The sequence below is a fragment of the Homo sapiens genome, chromosome 11 (assembly GCF_000001405.40).
Source record: "Homo sapiens chromosome 11, GRCh38.p14 Primary Assembly".
Classification (NCBI taxonomy): Eukaryota; Metazoa; Chordata; class Mammalia; order Primates; family Hominidae; genus Homo; species Homo sapiens.
In genome coordinates this window covers 73,895,670-73,920,220 of record NC_000011.10, presented here as the reverse complement: position 1 = coordinate 73,920,220, position 24,551 = coordinate 73,895,670, and the positions used below count along the sequence as shown (strand labels likewise).

Here is a 24,551-nt window from a genome sequence, read left to right as displayed (position 1 = left end):
AAAATATTATATTTTGGAGTGACTTTAGGTTTACAGAAAAGTTAGTTAAAGATAATACAGAAGGTTCCCATATGCCCTTAATCAGTTTCAGGTTTTCCCAAATGTTATCACCTTACATTTGTCAAAACTAAGATGCCAATATTGGTACACTACTACCACCTAAACAGCATGCTTTTTTTTTTTCACCAGTCTTTCCTTAACATCCTGGATCCAATCCAGAATACCACTGACTTAGTTGTCAAGTTTCCTTAGTCTCTTTGGTTGACTTTATTTTCAAATCACTAAATTAATATAATCTGAAATGGACTCTGGACTTCTTGTTAAGTGAAGCAGTATCCTTTCCTAACTGTTTAAACCATATTCAGCTGGGTGTTCTGTAAATAACAGCCCAAAACATCCTAACTGACATACTGAAATGCTCAAGGTAGGTAGGTAGTCCCTCCAGGCTGTATAGTCCAGTCCTCCTGACCTACATCATTCCTACAAGGATCCAGTGTCCCTTAATGTACACTTTGCTCCAGGCATTTCCCCAACACCATTCCTGAACTCCATTCCAAAGAGTTTGTCCTGGCTACATTAAGATACTCGCTTTACCTAGAATATGTATGTAAAGCATCAAACACAGTACCTACTACATAGCAGGCCCTCTGGAAATGCTAGTGCTCTTCTTCTTTTGCCCCCGCTTGCCTCATCTATGACTTTGCATATACAATAGCTTCAGCTTTCAGTGTCCCTCTTTACATCTCCAGTGGGTGAAATCTTTATCAGTTTACATGTCACGTAGTTCACGAAGACCTTGCTGACAGCACTCCTACCTCTAGAATTAGCTATTCTTCATTTCCTCATGCAGTCTTCTGATGTAGTCCTTATCAAACTGGACTGCAATCAAATGTTCACACGTCTGTCTGCCTTACTGTGAGCTCCTTTAAGGCAGAAGAGTGGTGGGCATTGAGCTAAATTCTGGGAATAACACAATGAATAAGGCACAGTCACCACCCTCAAGGAGTTTGAACTGGAGGGGGACACAGACAATCACAACGTAGAGTGATAAACACTATTGATAGGTACAATATGCCAAAGAATCATGGGGGACCATGCCCCAACCCAGCCATAGATCAGACACTTAAAACTATGTTTAATTAACTGAACTACAGAGAAGCATCTCTCTCAATTGGCCCATGGACCCACCTTGGCTAGCAATGAATCCATCTCTGACACTTAGCAGGGATAGAACTGGTGCTCCTGATCTGTGGATGACTTGTACCGGAGCCCTAGGATTCAGAGAAAGGGGAAATTTTACTTTCTTTCTTCAAAAGCAATACTTGACTATATTCAACATATAGTACTAACCACATAAGAGCAAACAGGATAAAATGTGAAGAAAGATTAAACATTTCTATGGTTTCTTTCCTGGCAAGAACCTTAACTGGCAGATTAAGGTAATTCAAAAACCATCCATGTCTCTAAACATGAACTAAGTCACCACCCAAATCCTGAGTTTTTAAGGTAGGTATGACATGGGTTGAAGATAACAATATTAGCAGTATGTTAAACTTTTCACTTAACAAAAGAATTAAGATTTGTTGTAAAATATTAAAATTGTCAGGACTCTAAAAAGAAAGAGGCTGAGGCAGGAGAATGGCGGGAACCCGGGAGGTGGAGCTTGCAGTGAGCCGAGATCGCGCCACTGCACTCCAACCTGGGCTACAGAGCAAGACTCCATCTCAAAAAAAAATAAAAAAAAAAAAGAAAGAGAAAGCTGAGTGAGAATCAATTTAATATATATGTAAGTGTGACTTTATAATAGTGATCAGAGATTCCCTATCTCTGTGGAGGCAAAAAAAAAAAAAAAAAAAAAAAAAAAAAAATTAAGTAACTGAAATGATGGAAGAAAAGGTATAAGCTAGTCACCATCTACTGGAATTTATTCCCTACTCTTGGAATAAACTTAGAATGGCAGGTAAGGTCAGAGCAGCTCCTGTTTTCCTGCTGGTATCACTTCTCACCACTGCCCTCATATGCAGGGAACATACCTGTCATAGACTCCTGAAAACAATCCCCTTCACATGCCTTCATATATGGGATTCTATACATGGGATTCTACCGAGGCCAGCTCTTTTCCTCCTTCTTTACTTGGCAACGTCCTACTCAACAAGACCCAATGTTTCTCATTTCCTTGGAGAAGCAGTCTCACCTCCTTCCCTCTCCTTTTTGGTGCTTCCTTAGATTTCTGTAGCTAGCCCTGTCAGACAAGTGATCACACTGCACAACAGTCTTTTACTTGTCCATCTTTACCATTAGACTCCAGGTGCCTCAAAGGCAGAGTCTGTATCTTTTTTTTTTTTTTTTTGAGATAGAGTCTCGCTCTGTTGCCCAGGCTGGAGTCCAGTGGCACGATCTCAGCTCACTGCAACCTCCACTTCCCAGGTTCAAGCGATCCTCCTGCCTCAGCCCCCCAGTACCTGGGATTATAGGTACGTGCCACCATGCCCAGCTAATTTTTGTATTTTTAGTAGAGACAGGGTTTCGCCATGTTGGCCAGGCTGGTCTTGAACTCCTGACCTCAGGTGATCCACCCACCTTGACCTTCCAAAGTGCTGGGGTTACAGGCGTGAGCCACCACGCCCAGCCCAGAGCCTGTACCTTTTATTTCTGGTTTTCAGTGCCTTGAACCAAGCCTGATGCCCACAGAAGCTATTTTCAATAAATATCAGTTGAAAAAAGGAAGGAAATCAAAGGAGGAAGGGACAAAATTGTAGAAATTGTTAAATCCTGCAACAGAGAGATTGTGTGATTCTCTTTGGATATCTTTAAGGCCAAAGAAAAGCCTGTTTAGAAAGGTCATGATCAAAACTACATAACTAACAGAGCTGGGTTCCTTGAACTAAAAATGATCATTCAGGGCTGGGTACAGTGGCTCATGCCTGTAATCCCAGCACTTTCGGAGGCTGAGGCGGGCAGATCACGAGGTCAGGAATTCGAGATCAGCCTGACCAACATGATGAAACCCTGTCTCTACTAAATATACAAAAATTAGCTGGGTGTGGTAGCGCGCACCTGTAATCCCAGCTACTCAGGAGGCTGAGGCAGGAGAATTGCTTGAACCCGGGAGGCAAAGGTTGCAGTAAGCCGAGATAGCACCACTGCACTCCAGCCTGGGCGACAGAGGGAGACTCCATCTCAAAAAATAAATAAATAAATAAAAATAATTCAATCTTTCAATCTTAGGGTAGCCAGGGTCTAATGTAAGAGAAAATTACTGAGCTCTTTAAAATTAAAAGTTCTAGACAATCAATTTAAATGAAATGTTAGTTTATATTTAAGCTTAATTTTCAAAGCAATCATTAGTCAGACAATCATAATGGTATGAATCATATATTTTAATATGAGTCCAGGAATAATAAGAAAAATCAGAAAATTCAGACTGGAAAACCTTTGTAAATGGAAAAATATACCCTTGATTCAATAGTTATCTATATGCTAGGCTAAATCAATGTTAAAGCCAATAAAAATTTCCACTCTGCAGAAGACCTGCATCATGTAAATGAATGGTGACTCACCTTGGACTCCTCACATCCAGCTGATAAATGTTTCCATCTTGAGTCCCAGCCAATAGCAAGAAGCCAGAGAGAAAAGTACAGCAGTTGAAAGCGTCTGAGCCAATAAAGAGGAACACCTGGGAACAAGTAGGAGGCAAAAATGCTGTTTAAAGATTAATTTGTTTCCAAGAATAAACAGGCACCAAAAAAGGAAAAATTTCACTATATTTTGAGATATTTTCTTCCTTCCCCCTTTAATTATTCTCAAATGGTAAATTACACATTCACCAAAAACTGAGAAGGAAGTACTCCCAGGATTTCAGGAACCTGGGGTTGACTAAGGACTTGAGCAGGTTATATAATATACTCTGAAGTAGCAGTTTTCCAACTACTACCACTCAACACACTGTCTCACAGGATCCTCACCACCAAAATTCCTTCTTTGCCCCTTTTTCATGACAACTTTCTGAGAAACACTTGCAATTCCCACATGTAAGTTTTGCTCCATGTCACTTCAACCTTTTGAAGGAGGGTATTTTGTAGGAAAATGAACAGGCTTAAATAAAGTAGCAATGTAAAGAATCACAATTCTCCCCATGAATCTGAAAAAAAAAATTATTATAGTTTTATTTTCTCCTTACTGTTAGCTCAAACTGATCATGTCTTCCCCAAACATACTAAAAAGAAAAGGCAAAAAACAAAATAAACAAACAAAAAAACCTGATTTCCCTCTGGAAGTAAAAGCCAGCATGGAAACTCAAGTACAAAGGCGATATTAGCAAAAATGGTAATGTTCCTGAAACAAACTTTGAAAATGGAAATATCACCAGCACAGTGGAGTAACAAGATGAAATGAAAACAGCAAACCCTGTGGCCAAATCAAATCACTAAAGTTGTCTGGATGACGATCACAGGAGCTAGAAGGAAATTTTAAAAATCTAATCTCTGGGAAGAGAGAATTTAGTTAAGAACATAATCTGCCCAGCAAAAATTCAGAGGATGTAGGAAGAAACTTCAACTAATGGTCTGTTCATTAATTGATCAAGAGTCCTGAATGCATGAGTCCCTTTTTTGAGACAGGGTCTCACTCTTGTTCCCCAGGCTGGAGTACAGTGGCGCAATCTTGGCTCACTGCAGCCTCGACCTTCCAGGCTAAGGTGATATTCCCACCTCAGCCTCCCAAGTAGCTGTAGCTGGGATTACAGGTGCATGCCACCATGCCCAGCCAATTTTTTGTATTTTTAATAGAGATGGGTTTTTTTGCCCAGGCCAGTCTCGAACTCCTGGACTCAAGCAATCCACCCTTTCTGGGCCTCCCAGAAAGCTGGGATTACAGGCATGAGCCACTATGCCCAGTGGGCGTGAGTTCTTTACTCAGAATTTTTTCACATTACCTTAGAGGTAGCAGGACTCATAAAGAAAATCTATACAACTTCATCATTTTACATATAGCACACTAAGGTCCAGAGAGGGAAAGTGACTTAACAAAGATCACAAAACAGTAGACCATTTAATCCTCATCACATACCCTATTATGACCAGTTTAGTGATGAGGAAGCAGGCTCAGAGAGGTTAAGTAACTTGTCCAATGCTGGAACCATTAAGTATTAATAGAAGAACTGAGATTTATTTTATTTTTTTATTCTCTGCAAGTGCTGCACAAGAACTGGGATTCAGGGCTGGGCTCAGTGGCTCACATCTGTACTCCCAGTACTTTGGGAGATTGAGGCAGGCGGATCACTTGAGTCAGGAGTTTGAGACTAGTCTGGCCAACATGGTGAAACCCCGTCTCTACTGAAAATACAAAAATTAGCCAGGCATGGTGGTGGGCTTGTAATCCCAGCTACTCAGGAGGCTGATGCAGGAGAATCACTTGAACCTAGGAGGTGGAGGTTGCAGTGAGCTGAACCGAGATTGCGCCACTGCACTCCATCCAACCTGGGCGACAGAGTGAGACTCTGTCTCCAAAAAAAAAAAAAAAAAAGAACTGGGATTTAAATGTTGCCCTTATTCCAAATCCCACAACTCTTAATCATTACACTGTACTGCCTCTTACTCACGCAGCCTTCTCAAAAGTGAACACAGGGAGCAAGTAGAAATGTTTCCAAAATAGCTTTCTAAGACACAGAGTGACCCAGGTTGCCTCAGAGTTCAAAGGTCATATAGGAACCACTTGCCAGCTGCCTGCTCTGTAGTCCCAAGCACTGAAGTTTCTTATCTTCCCGGGCCAAGAGCAGCATTTTGGCCTCTGTTCCAACCTCCCGTTCACCTGCATGACAAATAAACTATGTTAATAACAGTGAGGCTGATCAGCTGGTAGTGCCCACACAGCACCAATACTGATGGTTGATTACTGATTTTGTTAGCGATTCACTTATTACAAAGAAAACATTTATTATGTTCTGTATCTCACTGTGGTATTATTTATACAACTGGATATATTTGTCAAAACTCACAGAACTATACAATTAAAAATACTGACTTTACTTTTACATTTTAAAAATGTTTTTTAATGGTATCCAGTAGCCAAGGAAAAGGGTGACTTTTACCATATGTAAAAGATACCTCAGTAAATCCAAATTTATTTTTAAAATGTGCCTGTGTGTGTGTGTACTTTTTTTTGAGACAGAGTCTAGTATGTTGTCCAGGCTGGAGTGCAGGGGCCATTCACAAGCACAAACATAGCACCCCACAGTCTTGAATCCCTGGGTGCAAGCAATCCTCCCACCTCAGCCTCCTGAGTAGCTGGGACTACAGGTGTGCACACCATGGCTGGCAATAAGCCCAACTTTTAAAATATTAAGTTGTTTGTACCATGATAAGACACCACACTAGGAGTTGGGATACAATACTGCAAAAAACAGTCTCTGACCTCAAAGATCTTACAGCCTAGAGAAAATGAAATTTATTCATTTACTCACCAAATATTTCTTTAGGGCCTACTATGTATCAGGCACTATTCTTTTTTTCTTTTTTTTTTTCTTTTTTTACCCTCATCTTCTATGTGATGACATCACACACTATTCTAACTGCTAAGGAAATAGTGATGAACAAACAGATAAGGTCCTCACTCTCAAGGATTCTAGTGAATAGGTAAATAAACAAGTAGGATACTTTCAGAAAGTGATGAGTTCTAAAATAAAATAAAATAGGAAAATAAGATCAGAAGTGAATAGATGGTGGAAGGCTAGATGGGGAGGGTAACTTTAAATGTAAACTTCAACTTTATTTATTTTTTAAAATATTTTTTATAGAGATGGGATCTCACTATATTGCCCAGGCTAGTCTTGAACTCCTGGGCTCGAGCAATTCGCCCACCTCAGCCTCCCAAAGTGCTGGGATTATGGGCGTGAGCTACCACGTCCAGCCTAAACTTTAACTTTAAAAAGCCTCTGTGGAAGTCACTTTTCAACTGAATGGCAAGACCTGAATGGTGAACAGAAACCAGTCATGTGAAGACCTGCAGGAGTATATTCCAGACCAAGGGAAAAAGAAGGCAAAGTCAGGCCAGGTGCGGTGGCTCACGCCTGTAATCCCAGAATTTTGGGAGCCCAAGGCAGGTAGATCACTTGAGGTGAAGAGTTTAAGACCAGCCTGGCCAACATGGCAAAACCCCATCTCTACTAAAAATACAAAAAATAGCCAGGCATGGTAGTGCACGCCTGTAATCCCAGTTACTCGGGAGGCTGAGGCGGGAGAATTGCTTGAACCTAGGAGGTGGAGGTTGCAGTGAGCCGAGAACGTGCCACTGCATTCAGCCTGGCAAAAGAGGGAAACTCCATCTCAATTTAAAAAAAAGAAGGCAAAGTCCAGGAGACTGGGAGAGTCTACTGTACTGAAAGAAGAAACTGAAGGCCTGTGGCTGAAATGTAGTGAACATGGCAGAGGGTGGTATGACATGAGACTGGAGAGAAGTGTAGGGGTCAGAAAGTATAAGAGCTTGTTGTAAACCATGCTAAGGGGTTAGGATTTCAACATATTTATAAAGGGAGGCCACTGGAGAGTTTTAAGCAGGAATGTGACATGACTTATGATTTTCTTAAATGACCACAAGATTGCTCTGAAAAGAATGGCTTATAGGAGAATAGTCTAGGCAGTAGTACAGGCAATAGATGATGATAGTTTGGACCAGATGTTGACAGGAGGAAGGGAGAGAGGGGGAGGGAGAGGGAGAAATAGAAAAATTAGAAACACTTTGAAGTTAGAGATGATAGACTTTGCTGATGTGGGACATGAGGAAAGAGAGGGTGGACTGTGAGTGAATCTCAGGCTTTGGGCTTGAGCAAATGGGTAGATAGCGGTGCCATCTTCTGAGATGGAAAAAAACAGTTTGGGGTGGGGAGGGATCAAACACTCCTTGTTAGACAAGGTAAGTTCAACTTATTTATTAGACATCGAAATAGAGTCTGAAACTCAGGTGAAAGGTCTATGCTTTACATGAACTTTGGAATGATAGCTATAGAACAGATGAGGTCACAAAGGAAGAAACTGTAGTTATAGCTGAGGGCCCAGAACTTAATAGTGGGGCCCTCTAGTATTTAAAGGTAGAAGAGAGGAGTTTCATAAAAGGAGACCTTTAAGAAGTAGCAGTCAATGAAATAGGAAGAAAACCAGTGTTATGTGGTATCACAGAAGCCATGAAAAAAAAAAGTTTTTTGAGGAGAGGGTTTACTATGTGAAATACCACTGAATTCAGAAAGACAAGCACAGAGAAACAAGGTGGATTAGGCAAGAAGAAGGTCACTGGTGGCTGGGGCCCATAGCTCACACCTGTAAGCCCAGCACTTTGGGAGGCTTAGGAGGGTGGATCACTTGAGGCCAGAAGTTCATGACCAGCCTGGCCAACATGGTGAAACCTCATCTGTACTACAAATACAAAAATTAGCCAGGCATGGTGGTGGGCACCCGTAATCCCAGCTACTCGGGAGGCTGAGGCACAAGAATCACTCGAACACTTGAACCTGGGAGGTGGAGGCTGCAGTGAGCCAAGAGATCGCACCACTGCACTCCAGCCTGGGCAACAGAGTGAGACTCCATCTCAAAAAAAAAAAAAAAAAAAGGAAGGTCACTGGTGACTTTAACAACAGCCATTTCAGTCAAGTACTTGGGCACAAACCATCCTAGAATGGGTTGAAGAGTAAATGGGAAATGAAAAATTACAGAAAACAAGAAAAAATATTCTCATTTAAATTACTTTAGGGCCAGGAGCTGTGGCTCATGCTTGTAATCCTAGCACTTTGGGAGGCTAAGATGGGAGAATCACTTGAGGCCATGAGTTCAACACCAGCCTGGGCAACATAGTGAGACCCTGTCTCTACAAAAATAAAAAAAAGTAGCTAGGTGTAGTGGTGCATGCCTAGAGTCCTAGCTACTCGAGAGGGTGAGAGGCAGGAGAACTGCTTGAACAGAGTACAGAGGATTATTAGGGCTAAGAAACTACTATGTATGATACTGCAATGGTAAATACATGTCACTGTACACTTGTCAGACCCTATAGGATATATAACACCAAGAGTAAGCCCTAATGTAAACTCTGAACTTTGGGTGACAATAATGTGTCACGTAGGTTCATCAGCTGTAATAAATGTACCACTCTGGTGGGGGATATTGATAGTGAGGAGGGCTATGTGTGAGTGGGTAAGGCAAAAGGTATATAAGAACTCCCTGTACTTTTTTTTTTTTTTTTTTTTTTGAGACAGAGTCTCACACTGTCGCCTGGGCTGGAGTGCAATGGAGCGATCTCAGCTCACTGCAACTTCCTCCTCCCAGGTTCACACGATTCTCCTGCCTTAGCCTCCCGAGTAGCTGGGATTACATGCACACACTACCACACCCAACTAATTTTTTGTATTTTTAGTAGAGATGGGGTTTCACTATGTTGGCCAGACTGGTTTCGAGCTCCTGACCTTGTGAATCGCCCGCCTCGGCCTCCCAAAGTGCTGGGATTACAGGCGTGAGCCACTGCACCTGGTCCCCTGTACTTTCTGCTAAATTTTGCTGTGAGCCTAAAATGGCCCTAAAAAATAAGGGCTATTTTTTAAAATGTGAGGGGCTAAGACAACAGTAGAAAAAACATTGTCCTATGGAACAGAGATGCAACTATTATTATGGGAAAATAAGAAGGAAAGTTGCCTTATTAGGACCTTTATTAGTCTCTCACCACAGCTATTCAACCCATTTCCTACTACTACCCCTCTTAATTCAACTTTCTAGCCCAGTCAAACATATCTTTTTATATAACACTTAGTTTCACGTCCAAGCTATAATGCAAACTGCCCCTACACCTACCCCTTGCCCTAGCTCCCATTGTCCTATCCTTACAATTACTGTCTGTTCAACTTCAACTTATCCTCTAAAGGTTCAAGCCAACTTCTTTTGTGACATCTTTCCTATCTATACTAACCGGGAACACTCCGTCCCTCTGAAAACCTATTATATTTGCATTAGGACTTGCTAATTTGCCAGGCATGGTGGTGCAGGCCTGTAGTCCCAGCTATTAGGGAGGCTGTGGTGGGAGCATCACTTGAGCCCAGGAGTTCAATGCCAGCCTGGGCAAAACAGCAGGACTCTATCGCTAAAAGAATAAAATAAATAAAAAGAATCACTAATTATTTCAGCCAAATGTTACTGTTCTCTAAATGTTTTAAAGCAAGCTTGTCCAACCTGCAGCCCAGGGTGGCTCTGAATGAGGCCCAACACAAATTCATAAACTTTCTTAAAATATTATGAGATTTATTTATTTTTAGCTCAGCTATCATCAATGTTGTGTATTTTATGTGTGGCCCAAGACAAGTCTTCCAATGTGGCCCAGGGAAGCCAAAAGATCGGACACCCCTGCTTTATAGGCATTTATCTCATCTTCTACATTAGATTGTACTTACTGAAACGCAGTGCTATGACATATACTTCCTTTGTAGATTCCAAAGTAATAGAAACATAGTAGGTACAGAGTAAATATTAATCGTATGGTGAAAACAGAAATACCAGGCACAGAGCAGAAAAGGATGAGGAAGAAAAGGAGAAACTAAGGCAATCACTGAAGGGGGCCTAAGAAAATAAAACAATGCTACATATCATTATCAACTTACTGGGCATCTGCTCAGGGGAGCCAAGGTTTATGGAGTTGTCAGCAGCACCCACCGCCACTCCATTGATAGAAGAACCACAATCTGCAAGGACTCCCAAGCAGGCTGAGCGCCCACAATCCCAAAGTCGTGCTGTCCCATCTCGAGAAGCAGACACCACATTCCTCCCCCGATCAACGATGGCTGTATCCAGGATACCTAGCAAGAGAAAAAAACTCCCTAAGATGGAGGATGGAGTAAAGGAACTACAAGGGCAGAGAAGATGGAGCTGCATAAATGACTCCATCCCTTCACAAACATGTTCTGAACAGGTACCACATGCTGGCCATGTTCAAGTGCTAGAAAAACAGAAATAGAGTCCCAGCTTCCCAATGAATCAAAGTCTAGCTGTGAAAGACAGGCATGGAAAAACAAGTACTGGATTTAATTTTTAGTGGAGTGTGCTAGAGAAATCATGTTCAAGTTTTTTATTTTGTCTTCAAAACTCTTTTTTAAAAAGAAAAATTAAGAGGTCGGGCGTGGTGGCTCACACCTGTAATCCCAGCACTTTGGGAGGCCGAGGCAGGTGGATTGCCTGAGCTCAGCAGTTCAAGACCAGCCTAGCTAACATGATGAAACCCTGTCTTTACTAAAAATACAAAATAGCCAGGCGTGGTGACACATGCCTGTAATCCCAGCTAAACAGGAGGCTGAGGCAGGAGAATCGCTCGAACCTGGGAGGCGTAGGTTGCAGTGACCCGAGATCACGCCACTGCACTCCAGCCTTCAACAGAGGAGACTCCGTCTCAAAAAATAAATAAATAAATAAAAAATAAAAATTAAGTAGACACCTTAACAAGAACTTTGGAGGAAAAAAAAGTTGACACCTAAGCTAATTCAGTTTGAAAATCACTGCCTTGGCCAGGTGCAGTGGTACACACCTGTAATTCCAGCACTTTGGGAGGCTGAGGCAGGAGAATCTCTTGAGCGCAGGAGTTTAAGACCAGCCTGGGTGACACAGCATGACTCTGTCTGTACAAAAAATTTAATTTAGGTATGGTGGCTCGTGCCTGTAATCCCAGCTACTCAGGAGGCTGAGGTGGGAGGATTGCTTGAGCCCTGGAGTTCAAGGCTACAGTAAGCCATGATTGCTCCACTGCACTCCAGCCTGGGCAGTGGAGCAAGACCCATATATATATATACACACATATATATACACATATATATATACACACATATATATACATATATATATACACACATATATACACATATATACACATATATATACATATATACACATATATATACATATATACACACATATATATACATATATACACATATATACACATATATACATATATATACACATATATATACACACATATATATATATTTATTTACATATATGCTGCTGCTGCTTTCACTGATAATTGATTAAAAGGGTTAGCCTCCCCATTTGAAAAAAGGACATGACTTCTGGTTTTGGCCAAGAAAGAGTAGTCCCATTGCTCCTAGGTCCTTCTGTTTACAACTGAAAAGTCATTGACACCACAAGCATAGTAAGACTTGGAATGATGGAAAGAAGGTGGTGGACCACTTAAGGACCTCAGGACTTAAAAAACAACACAGCAATGAGTTCCTGGATTTCCTTATTGCCTCCCACATGTCCTGGACAGGACACTGCAGAAGCCTCCAACACAAAACTGCTAACAGGAACAGAGTTAAAAAACAAAACAAAACAAAACTCCCAGTAAAGTCTGTTGCCCCTAGCCCAAAGACTGAGAAAGAAGTAGCTCACAAAATAGAAATCTTGGCAACATCCACCCTATACCAGTAGACATCAACAGAAAAACTGTTACTTCCCCTCCCCCATGGTTTCAGTGGGGCTGAACAGGAGGTGATCATCTACCCCGCTCCCATGGAAGCCGGCAGCAGCACTCCCATTCCCCTACCCAGTGGGGTTGACCAGGTTAAGTAGGGTACTGTCACAGGATCTAGCAGTGAGCTCAGTTTCCATCCCCACCTGGCAGTGACAGGCACAAAGAGGTGCCCTGAGGTGCCCACCACCCCTTCCCAGGTGTCAGTCAGCAGGGAACCAAGCTTATAACGCCACTAGAAGGCAATGAGGTGATGCAAGTCAGGTGGTGCAACTGTGTCCTACTTTCACCAAGAAGATGACACAGGACCAAGGGGGAAGCTGAACTTCCACCTCCCCTGTCTGCAGTGTGAGGCGGTATGAGTCAGTGCTCCACTTTTGCCAGGGTAGTGTCAGGGGAGTCCAGTAGGTGGCTGAACATTCTTATCTACCCAGCCCTCATACCATACCTCAACAGGGAACTGCCTGCCAAAAAAGATGATGGAATTAAGATCGAGTGTTATAATGTCCAAAATGCCTATCGATTTTATAGTTTTTGAAGCCCTTTATTATCTATAATCTGAATATTTGCTATGGTCCCTAGCCTCAGGAATACACAGCATAAAAAAATAGAGTTGATTATAGACATAAAGACTTACAATGGAAAAAAAAAAAGAGAAAAAATACACAAACAGAATATATCTGGAAAAAAAAAGACATACAATACAATGGTACAGGTGTAAAAACACAGAGTTGTATGGAGTAGAGAGGTAGTGCAACCCTATGGTGATCCAGGCAGGGCTAGTATTTGTTTCATTAAAACCCATTTAACGATGCTTAGTATAGGTGCCCAATAAATTAAGAGTAACTGACCAAAAGTCACATAGCTAATTAGTGGTCTTTAGCATACTTTCTTTCCTCTTAAAATGAAATGACTTCAGATACACAAACCTTGACAAAAACTCTACAGCAACTCAGCGTAACGTACAAGTGCCAATCCAATGTGATTAACCACATGTCTCTCAAGTCTTACTGGAAATTTCACTTTGTTTAGAAAAAGATGAGTTTAAGAAAATGCCACAGCTTTAAAAAGTAGCCAATTTAGGGTCTGTGTGAGAAAATATCATTAAAAGCAACTCAGGTGGGACCTAATCACTATAGTGTAACTTTTCAAATAGATCCAATTTAAAATAAAAACTAAATCCAGGCCAGGTACAGTGCCTCACAACTGTAATCCCAGCACTTTGGGAGTCTGAGGCGGGCAGATCACTCGAGGCCAGGAGTTCAAGACCAGCCTGGCCAACGTAGCGAAACCCGTCTCTACTAAAATACAAAAATTAGCCAGGTGTGGTGGCAGGTGCCTGTAATCCCAGCTACTTGGGAGGCTGAGGCACAAGAATCACTTGAACCCGAGAGGCAGAGGTTGAAGTGAGCGGAGATTGCACCACTACACTCCAGCCTGGGTAACAGAGGGAATCTCAAAAAAACAAACAAACAAACAAAACTAAACGAAATTCAATTTATACAGCTGGCAACGGTTGTTAGGTAAATGTAATTCTCACAGCTATATACCCACTGGATATAGGCCACTAGAGAAAAGATTTTTCAGTCTTCCTTTCAAAAACAGATCTATCAAGCCCATATGGTTTGCTGCCATCTTGTTTCTTATTTTGCAATTGGTCACTAAAGTATTTTGAGTTTGGAAAATCTACATTTCTATTTCAACTCCATAATACATTCAGCAAAAATCTAATTAGAAAGTATCTTAGAGCTTTTAAGAATCCTAAGGAATCACCATAAGGAAGGTCTTTCAGCTCTTATTAAGCAATCAAAGATCTCCTTATGTCTCTACTGGAAGTTCCAACCACTATTTCAAAATGCTACTGAGTTCCACGGAAGTGATACATGCTTTTGGAAAAAAAAAATTCTGAAAAGTATGTATTCAAGGCAGGGATGCTATAGCTGTGGCTAGAAAGCTGACTATATTATTAATTGTGTATAAATTTCAAGTAATACTCACCAAAGAGCTGCAATCTAGATAGTTTTCCTTTTCTATAAAAGCAGAGTGGAAAATTATCACCCTCTCTTTAGTAAATAAAATGTCACTCATAATGTAACAGCATCTAGTGTGGGTCTCTTAACACTTACACGACAAGAATAAAGAAAAGAGGAGCCTAGAGAAGTGGGAACCTATGAAGAATGACTTTAGAAAGAAGCTATCAAAGTAGCAATTTTGGCTAGGCATGGTAGCTCATGCCTGTAATCCCAGCACTTTGGGAGGCCAATGAGGGAGGATCACAAGGTCAGGAGTTTGAGACCAGCCTTGCCAATATGGTGAAACCCAGTTTCTTCTAAAAATACAAAAATTAGCCGGGCATGGTGGCGTGTACCTGTAGTCCCAGCTACTTGGGAAGCTGAGGCAGAAGAATCACTTGAACCCAGGAGGCGGAGGTTGCACTGAGCTGAGATCACGCCACTGCACACCAGCCTGGGCAACAGAGTGAGATTCTGTCTCAAAAAAAAAAAGAAAGCAGCAATTTCAAGAATGCCTTTCCAAGAGAAGCAGCCATAGCTAAGACTTACCAGAAGCTGCAAAAAGCTTTACTGTTATTTTTGTTTTGTTTTGTTGAGATGGGATCTCACTATATTGCCCAGACTAGAGTGCCATTGCTATTCACAGGCACAATTATATCACACTGCAGCCCTGAACTCCTGGCCTCAAGAGATCTACCTACCTTTGCCTTCCAAATAGCTGGGATTACAGACATGCACCACTGCACCCAGCTGGAAAAGGCTTTAGATATCAAACCAAATAGATACAAGTCTTCACCATACAAACCAGAACACAAAAGCATTTGCCTTCAAGAAAAGATTCAGCAGAATCACATACGAGCATCCCAGCCAAAGTCTGGAAATACGAATAACATTAGATGAAACTATTCCTGAAATAAATATTTGTAAGAAATAAAGCAAATTTCATATTCCCAGGTGTATATTCTTAACAAGTGTATTTATTTAGTTTCTCTATCATATTAAGCTGTTTTAATGTTGCTAGGGAGCAATATACATACATGCGTATATGGGAAAATTAATGGCTATGACTCAGATCTCCGAAAAAAAAATAAGCCTTGAAGCACCTCCTATTACTTGGAGGCGGCATAGCCAATTTCTAAGAAAGTATTTAAGACTTGGAAAATAATGGCGCAAGTGCTGATACTGCAACCTGGTTTCTTAAAATTATTCTATAAATGTAAGCATTTCCACTACCATTATGAGAAAAAAAATAAAAATAAAGCCAACTAGTTAACTAAAATAGGGTGTAATTTGGTCTCAATGTTTCACTGATTATGAAAGATGTAATGCTTATTATAAAGAATTAGGATTATAAATGTATATCCCCAAATTTCACAAGCTTACTTAAATGGCCTGGGCAATTTAACTTCAAACTGATTAAAGTGCATTTTAGAATTACTTATTGAACTCATATGTTACAATCACAAAACTACTTTTAGTCTACCTTTCCACTTGAAAAATTCAGCATACACAGAAACCTTACCTCTGCTTGTTAATTAAGTAGAGAACAAACTAATCCTTTAGTTATATATATTTAAATACACACACACACACAATTGGGGGACCAATTTATGTATATATATATACTTTTTTTTTTTTTGAGACGGAGTCTCGCTCTGTTGCCCAGGCTGGAGTGAAGTAGTGCAATCTTGGCTCAATGCAACCTCTGCCTCCCAGGTTCAAGTGATTCTCCTGCCTCAGCTTTCCAAGTAGCTGGGATTACAGGCGCACACCACTACACCTGGCTAATTTTTGTATTTTTTGTAGAGACAGGGTTTTACCATGTTTGCCAGGCTGGTTTTGAACTCCTGACCTCAGGTGATCCTCCCACCTCGGCCTCCCAAAGTACTGGGATTACAGGGGTGAGACGCTGCGCCCGGCCAATTTTTTTTAATGTTTCTTTTTATATGGGTTCATGGCTCTGAACAAAATGCTTCAAAATCTCATAAGAGATTTTTTTTTTTTTTGAAGACAGAGTTTCATTTGTTGGCCAGGCTGGAGTGCAATGGTGTGATCTCAGCTCACTGCAACCTCTGCCTCCTGAGTTCAAGCGATTCTCCTGCCTCAGACTCCCAAGTAGCTAGGATTACAGGCTCCAGCCACCACACCCAGCTCATTTTTGTATTTTTAGTAGAGACTGGGTTTCACCATGTTGGCCAGGCTGGTCTTGAACTCCTGACCTCAGATGATCCACCCGCCTCGGCCTCCCAAAGTGCTAGGATTACAGGCATGAGCCACAGTGCCCGGACCAAGATTTTTTTTCTTTTTAAGTCACACAAAGCAACTTGGAAGTCATTTGGTTGGAGACAGTGATGATCGGTCAATCTATAGGTTGCTAAGCTATCAGATCTATCTATATATACGCTGTTAAGCTATCAGAGATCAATCCTGATTTTTGCCACGCTGTGGAAGAATGGGCAACCCCAAACCTGGGGCTACTTTATTCAACGAACTGGAAAGGAGCCTTTGTGACCTGATAAGAGGCCAGCCTGGATCTGACTTCATGTCATTTCTTCTAAAGTATATCATTCCGTTCAATCTACTAAAAACTCCCTTCTCAAGAAAAAAGTCAGGGCTGTTATACTCTGCAGAAGGCACTACTCTACCCCAGGACTTTCTCACAAGGCCAAAAGAATGGAACAACTACATGAATAAAAGCTTATATCTAAATTGATTTAACATTCTAGGCCGGGCGCAGTGGCTCACGCCTGTAATCCCGGCACTTTGGGAGGCCACGGCAGGCGATCACAAGGTCAGGAGTTTGAGACCAGCCTGGCCAATATGGTGAAACCCAGTCTCTACTAAAAATACAAAAAAAAATTAGCCGGGCATGGTGGCGCATGCCTGTAATCCCAGTTACTGGGGAGGCTGCGGCAGGAGAATTGCTTGAACCAAGGAGGCAGAGGTTGCAGTGAGCCAAGATCGCGCCACTGCACCCCAGCCTAGGAGACAGAGTGAGACTCCATCTCAAAAAAAATAATAATAAATAAATAAATAACATTCTACTATTTACTCTAAGCTAAAGGTCCATACATATTCTTAGGGAGAATTAAGGAATGTTGGGAGACTTAGGATTCTGTAAAGGGAACAATAATTGCAGTGATCCAAAGGTATTTATAAACTGGATGTGCACTGATGTTGAATATGCATCTTGTTAATTAAGTTCAACATGCTGAGTCATGACTTGTTCCACTGAAATGTTTTCCTGTGCCCACACCTTCAGAGGGATGGCCAGATCGGAGGTGAAGCTTGCACTGTTCCTCTAGACTACTTTGGCTCCTGGACTCCCCAGATCTGTAGGCCATTCTGACTCCTTCAATCTCTCAGTTCTTCAGGAGGTGATGAGTTCTTCAGTAATGTAAGGAAGGCTCTGAATATTGTTTCTATTCCCTCTCAATGTACCCGTTTTCTTACATCATGGAAGTAAACCATTTATGTACTTAGGTTAATGTGTGTGTTTGCTAAAACATCAGCATGTAATCTGGCAAAATGTTATAAAGAAATATTAAAACTTAAAACTTGGGCCAGGCGCAGTGGCTCATACCTGTAATCCCAGCACTTTGGGAGGCCAAGGTAGGCAGATCACTTGAGGCCAGTTTAAGACCAGCCCAGCCAACACAGCGAAACCCCATCTCTACTAAAAAATACAAAAATTAGTTGGATGTGGTGGTGCACGCCTGTGATCCCAGCTACTTGAGAAGCTGAGGCACAAGGATCGCATGAGCCTGGGATGGGGAGGTTGCAGTGAGCCGAGCTGGCATCACTGCACTCCAGACTGGGCAACAAGCGAAACTAAAAAAAAAAAAAAAAAAAGGCAAGGCGCAGTGGCTAATGCCTGTTATCCCAGCACTTTGGGAGGCCGAGGCTGGTGGATCACCCTGAGGTCAAGAGTTTGAGACCAGCCTGACCAATATGGTGAAACCCCATCTCTACTAAAAATACAAAAATTAGCCAGGTGTGGGGCGTGTACCCGTAGTCCCAGCTACTTGGGAAGCAGAGGTTACACTGAGCTGAGATCATGCCACTGGACTCCGGCCTAGGCGACAGAGTGAGACTCCATCTTAAAAAAAAAAAAAAATCTTAAAACTTGATCTCCACACACAAGTTACAATGTACTGAGGTTCACAAAAACACAGAGTTAAAAATCCCAGAAGTAGAGGGCAATACAAATTAATTCCCAAATGAGTGGTACACGCAATATGTATTATGGTTCCAGAAGAAGGATCAAGGAATTATTTGGGGATATTATCACATATTTTTAAAATATTCAAACTTGTAAAATAGGAATAGCATACTTATCTCCTTTTTAATACTCCAATTAAGGATAAAACATACCTAAATAATATTTTTTCCCCACAAAACTCAGTTACAAAGGGAAGATGTTCCCACTGTATATCTATAATCTGATATTAACTGGTTATATGGCTAATCCATTTTTAAAACACGAACTGTAATTTAAATCTATGGGAATCATCAAGCTCTATCATAATGTCTGATGATGCAGCCATTAGCCACCCAGCTTTTACTGTTCCCTCAGCCAAAAAGACTAATATGAGAAAATGCAGACACATCTCCTTTTCTCTCACTCTCTCTCTCTATTTCCCAGCACACAAGTATACGATTTCCTGGAGAGGATTTTTTTTTTCCTTTATCAATTGTAGAAAACAACTTTTTTTTTTTTTTTTTTTTTTTTTTTTTTTTTGAGACGGAGTCTCGCTCTGTCGCCCAGGTTGGAGTGCAGTGGCGGGATCTCGGCTCACTGCAAGCTCCGCCTCCCGGGTTCACGCCATTCTCCTGCCTCAGCCTCCCAAGTAGCTGGGACTACAGGCGCCCGCCACTACGCCCGGCTAATTTTTTGTATTTTTAGTAGAGACGGGGTTTCACCGTTTTAGCCGGGATGGTCTCCATCTCCTGACCTCGTGATCCGCCCGCCTCGGCCTCCCAAAGTGCTGGGATTACAGGCGTGAGCCACCGCGCCCGGCCAGAAAACAACTTTTAAAGCTGGGATTACAGGCATGCACCACTGCACCCAGCTGGAAAAGGCTTTAGGTATCAAACCAACTGTGTAAGACAGTTCAAGATAGCAATAAAAAGACTGTGTGGCAAAGGAATTTCTGGTCCTTAGGGAAATGGCAGCTCATCTAAATGCCCAGCTGGATGGATTATTTGTGTATTTGTGAATAAACTAGCTTGTTTCTACCTTTTCAGTGATTCATTTCTGGGGATCATTAGAGAAGCCTTTTGGAGAAAGCACACTTCATACCTCCTTTGTGACCTTTGAAGGTCACCACGCAGCTAGCATCTTCAGCTGACCATATCTTCAGCTGGGCATCCATTCCCCCACTCAGGACCACAAGGCCTGATGGGAAAAACCTGCAACAATTCACATCAAACACATGTCCTTCCAATACTCTCTGGAAAAACAAAAGAAAATTCCATGCTAGTTCTCTTGTCCATCCCTTGATGTTCTCTTACCTCCCATACTCTGGTCCCTTATATGAAATACCTACATGCTAAACCCACATGCTGGGTTTTAAAACTAAGGATATCCAAAGGATCTCTTAGCTCATTTGTCTAGCAGGCAGTGTTCTAAAAGGTGTTTCCTCGAATTCAGCTATAGAGGTTATAGAACTGAATTCCATGTAAAAACACCCCAGAGCCTAGGTTAAAAAAAAAAAAAAAGAATTCCATGGCTTTCACAGCCATCTCTAGATCTAGTTAAAGAGCTGAGGTGGCTTGGGGACTTTTTCACTCATCTCTGTTTAAAATCCTTTGTAAAGGTTGGAGGCTCAGCCATAGATTCAGTCTAACAGCCAAGCTATTCTGTCTTGGAAATGGATCACTGAAGGCAATTAAAAAACAAGGGCACACCCACTTAGACCTTCACTGGTCTGGCTCCTTAACTGCTCCAGCCCCACTCTGTTCTGCCAAATCACTGAGCTTGAGAAAGGTTCTCGAATTGACAGCTGAGAGGCCAGGAGCGGTGGCTCACACCTGTAATCCCAGCACTTTGGGAGGCCAAGGTGGGCAGATCACTTGACGTGAGGAGTTGGAAACCAGCCTGGCCGACATGGCGAAAGCCCATCTCTACTAAAAATACAAAAATTAGATGTGTGTGGTGGCACATGCCTGTAATCTCAGCTACTTGGGAGGCTGAGGCACAAGAATCGCTTGAACCCAGGAGGCGGAGGTTGCAGTGAGCTGAGATCACACCACTGCACTCCAGCCTGGGCAACACAGCAAGACTGTCTCAAAAAAAAAAAAAAAAAAAAAAAGAGAAAAAGAAAAAGAAACACACAAATGGGAGAAAAGAGATCAACTGACATGCAGAGTGGTCCCACATTTTTAGAATGGGCCATTCTTCCTTCCATGTCCCAGTCCAAGGCTTCTCAGACCACCCTTTGTGTTTAAGACCTAAAAGTACATCCAAATCCTTTACCCTGAGTTCTCCATTGGAAGCCTGCCAGATTTTCATGGTCCCGTCAGTACTAGAAGACACACCAAGACCTCCTCTGCTGGAAATGTCCAGGCATGTTATCTGTTCAAAGAGAAAACAAACAATGTGTTAGAAATAATGAAATACTCTTATTCCCTTGAAATATGTTATAAACTTCCCTTTTTTCACTCTTCCAAGACTTCCTGAAGCCTGTGTTTCCCAACAAAAGGACTTGTGTTTGATGTAAAGGTTGAGTTATCATCACCAACCTCCCAACAAGGCTGAAGTAAACACCTTTTACTTCTTCAAACAAAAAGATATTCCTCTAATCATCTGAAGTCTAATGCTTCAGCTAAAAAGTTTTCCCTATCCCCATTTCATTTCCATAGTTTCCATGTGTTGCATTTATTTATTTGTTTGTTTGTTTGTTTGTTTGACAGAGTTTCACTCCCATCACCCAGGCTGGAGTGCAATGTCCCCATCTCAGCTCACTGCAACCTCTGCCTCCCAGGCTCAAGTGATTCTCCTGCCTCAGCCTCCCGAGTAGCTGGGACTACAGGCGCACACCACTGTGCCTTATTTCTGTATTTTTCGGTAGAGACAGAGTTTCACCATGTTGCCCAAGTTAGTCTCAAACTCCTGAGCTCAAGTGATTCTCCCATCTCAGCCTCCCAGAGTGCTGGGATTATAGGCCACCGTGCCCAGCCCTGCTATTTTATTTTAAAATTAAGACCAGGTGCAGTGGCTCACACCTGTGTAATCCCAACACTCTGGGAGGCCAAGGCAGGAAGATTACTTGAGCCCAGGAGTTCGAGACCAGCCTGGGCAATATAATGAGACTCCATCTCTACAAAAAATTTTAAAGTAAATATAAAAAATAAAAAGAAAATTAAGATACCTCTCCTAATTCTTAGGAACCCACTTACACAAAAGATAATGTTCTAAGATGCACCAGGAGGATTCAAGAGTTCAGCTATTCCTCTCCCTCTCCCTCTCCTTCTCCCTCTCCCTCTCCCTCTCCCTCTCCCTCCCCCTTCCCCTCCCCCTCCCTCTCCCCACGGTCTCCCTCTCCCTCTCTTTCCACGGTCTCCCTCTGATGCCCAGCTGGACGGTACTGCTGCCATCTCAGCTCACTGCAACCTCCCTGCCTGATTCTCCTGCCTCAGCTTGCCGAGTGCCTGCAATTGCAGGCGCGCGCCGCCACGCCTGACTGGTTTTCGTGTTTTTTTGGTGGAGACGGGGATTCGCTGTGTTGGCTGGGCTGGTCTGCAGCTCCTAACCATGAGTGATCCGCCAGCCTCGGCCTCCCGAGGTGCCGGGATTGCAGACGGAGTCTCGTTCACTCAGTGCTCAATGGTGCCCCAGGCTGGAGTGCAGTGGTGTGATCTCGGCTCGCTACAACCTCCACCTCCCAGCAGCCTGCCTTGGCCTCCCAAAGTGCCGAGATTGCAGCCTCTGCCCGGCCGCCACCCTGTCTGGGAAGTGAGGAGCATCTCTGCCTGGCCGCCCATCTTCTGGGATGTGAGGAGCCCCTCTGCCTGGCTGCCCAGTCTGGAAAGTGAGGAGCCTCTCTGCCCGGCCGCCCAGTCTGGAAAGTGAGGAGCCTCTCTGCCCGGCCGCCATCCCATCTAGGAAGTGAGGAGCGCCTCTTCCCGGCCGCCATCACATCTGGGAAGTGAGGAGCGTCTCTGCCCGGCCGCCCATCGTCTGAGATGTGGGGAGCACCTCTGCCCTGCCACCCTGTCCGGGATGTGAGGAGCGTCTCTGCCCGGCCGCCCCGTCTGAGAAGTGAGGAGACCCTCTGCCTGGCAACCGCCCCGTCTGAGAAGTGAGGAGCCCCTCCGCCCAGCAGCCACCCCGTCTGAGAAGTGAGGAGCCCCTCCGCCCAGCAGCCACCCCGTCTGGGAAGTGAGGAGCGTCTCCGCCTGGCAGCCACCTCGTCCGGGAGGGAAGTGGGGGGGTCAGCCCCCCACACGGCCAGCCGCCCCGTCCGGGAGGGAGGTGGGGGGGGTCAGCCCCCCGCCCGGCCAGCCGCCCCGTCCGGGAGGGAGGTGGGGGGGTCAGCCCCCCGCACGGCCAGCCGCCCCGTCCGGGAGGTGAGGGGCGCCTCTGCCCGGCCGCCCCTACTGGGAAGTGAGGAGCCACTCTGCCCGGCCAGCCGCCCCGTCTGGGAGGTGAGGGGCGCCTCTGCCCGGCCGCCCCTACTGGGAAGTGAGGAGCCCCTCTGCCCGGCCAGCCGCCCCGTCCAGGAGGGAGGTGGGGGGGTCAGCCCCCCCGCCCGGCCAGCCGCCCCGTCGGGGAGGGAGGTCTGGGGGGTCAGCCCCCCCGTCCGGCCAGCCGCCCCGTCCGGGAGGTGAGGGGCGCCTCTGCCTGGCCGCGCCTACTGGGAAGTGAGGAGCCCCTCTGCCCGGCCACCACCCCGTCTGGGAGGTGTACCCAACAGCTCATTGAGAACGGGCCATGAGGACAATGGCGGTTTTGTAGAATAGAAAGGGGGGAAAGGTGGGGAAAAGATTGAGAATCGGATGGTTGCCGTGTCTGTGTAGAAAGAGGTAGACATGGGAGACTTTTCATTTTGTTCCGTACTAAGAAAAATTCTTCTGCCTTGGGATCCTGTTGATCGGTGACCTTACCCCCAACCCTGTGCTCTCTGAAACATGTGCTGTATCCACTCAGGGTTGAATGGATTAAGGGCGGTGCAAGATGTGCTTTGTTAAACAGATGCTTGAAGGCAGCATGCTCCTTAAGAGTCATCACCACTCCCTAATCTCAAGTACCCAGGGACACAAACACTGCGGAAGGCCGCAGGGTCCTCTGCCTAGGAAAACCAGAGACCTTTGTTCACTTGTTTATCTGCTGACCTTCTCTCCACTATTGTCCTGTGACCCTGCCAAATCCCCCTCTGCGAGAAACACCCAAGAATGATCAATAAAAAAAAAAATAAATAAAAAAGAAAAAAAGAAAAAAAGAAACATCGTAAAAAAAAAAAAAAAGAGTTCAGATATTTCCACATATACCTATATATAGGTATAGCTATAGAAAATATACAGATATAGATCTTTCAGAATAAAGAATAGAGAAATTTCAGATTCACTTTTTGTTTTCCAAACTCACTTTTATAGTTTTTGTGTTTTTTTTAAAGACAGGGTCTCACTCTGTTGCTCAGGCTGAAGTGCAGGGGCATGATTACAACTCACTACAGCCTTAGCCTCTCAGGAACAAGTGATCCTCCTGCCTGAGCTTCCCAATAGCTGAGATTACAAACATGGGCTGGCATGTCCAGCTAATTTTTTAACTTTTTTTTGGAGAGATGGGGTCCCCCTATGTTGCCCAGGGTGGTCTTGAACTCCTGGGCTCAAGCTATCCTTCTGCCTTGGCCTCCCAAAGTGCTAGGATCACAGGCGTGAGCCACCGCGCCCAGCCTCACTTTTGTAATTTCAGTATCAGCAATCACTTCATGCATAAGCCATTATCAGAATAACAAATCTTTTATACACATGCATACATGTACACTTTTATTAAAAAACAACCAGCTGCAAATGCTCCAGAAATGATGGACCAAGATATGCAATTCCAGA

The 24,551-nt window shown here is 43.5% G+C and overlaps 1 protein-coding gene across 8 annotated transcripts in view, besides 2 other annotated features; it reads right to left on the bottom strand.

The window, feature by feature from the left end:
* The window catches only part of PAAF1 (proteasomal ATPase associated factor 1), a 54,416-nt gene that overhangs the window by 10,894 nt on the left and 18,971 nt on the right, over positions 1–24,551 (bottom strand). For 6 of the 8 annotated variants that reach the window (NM_001267806.2, NM_001267803.2, NM_001267804.2 and 3 more), the window contains 6 exons: positions 20,977–21,075; positions 19,801–19,951; positions 10,628–10,822; positions 5,717–5,808; positions 3,561–3,676; positions 1,189–1,271 (listed from right to left, as the gene is read on the bottom strand). In NM_001267806.2, the coding sequence (NP_001254735.1) occupies positions 1,189–1,271; positions 3,561–3,676; positions 5,717–5,808; positions 10,628–10,822; positions 19,801–19,951; positions 20,977–21,012 (673 nt within the window). In that variant the 5' untranslated portion in view covers positions 21,013–21,075. Of the gene's footprint in view, positions 1–815; positions 961–1,188; positions 1,272–3,560; positions 3,677–5,716; positions 5,809–10,627; positions 10,823–19,800; positions 19,952–20,976; positions 21,076–24,551 lie in introns of those variants that run through there. The other 2 variants (XR_007062508.1, XM_047427639.1) reach the window with 2 other exon arrangements.
* Positions 12,739–12,878: an enhancer, noted in NCBI's record as "active region_5245". NCBI's record gives its function as "activates an Ori minimal core promoter by ATAC-STARR-seq in GM12878 lymphoblastoid cells {active_cell/tissue: GM12878}" and the evidence as "EXISTENCE:reporter gene assay evidence [ECO:0000049][PMID:35858748]".
* Positions 22,480–23,259: an enhancer, noted in NCBI's record as "H3K27ac-H3K4me1 hESC enhancer chr11:73608007-73608786 (GRCh37/hg19 assembly coordinates)". NCBI's record gives its function as "activates a minimal SCP1, AML or CMV promoter by ChIP-STARR-seq in naive H9 embryonic stem cells {active_cell/tissue: H9 hESC(naive)}" and the evidence as "EXISTENCE:reporter gene assay evidence [ECO:0000049][PMID:30033119]".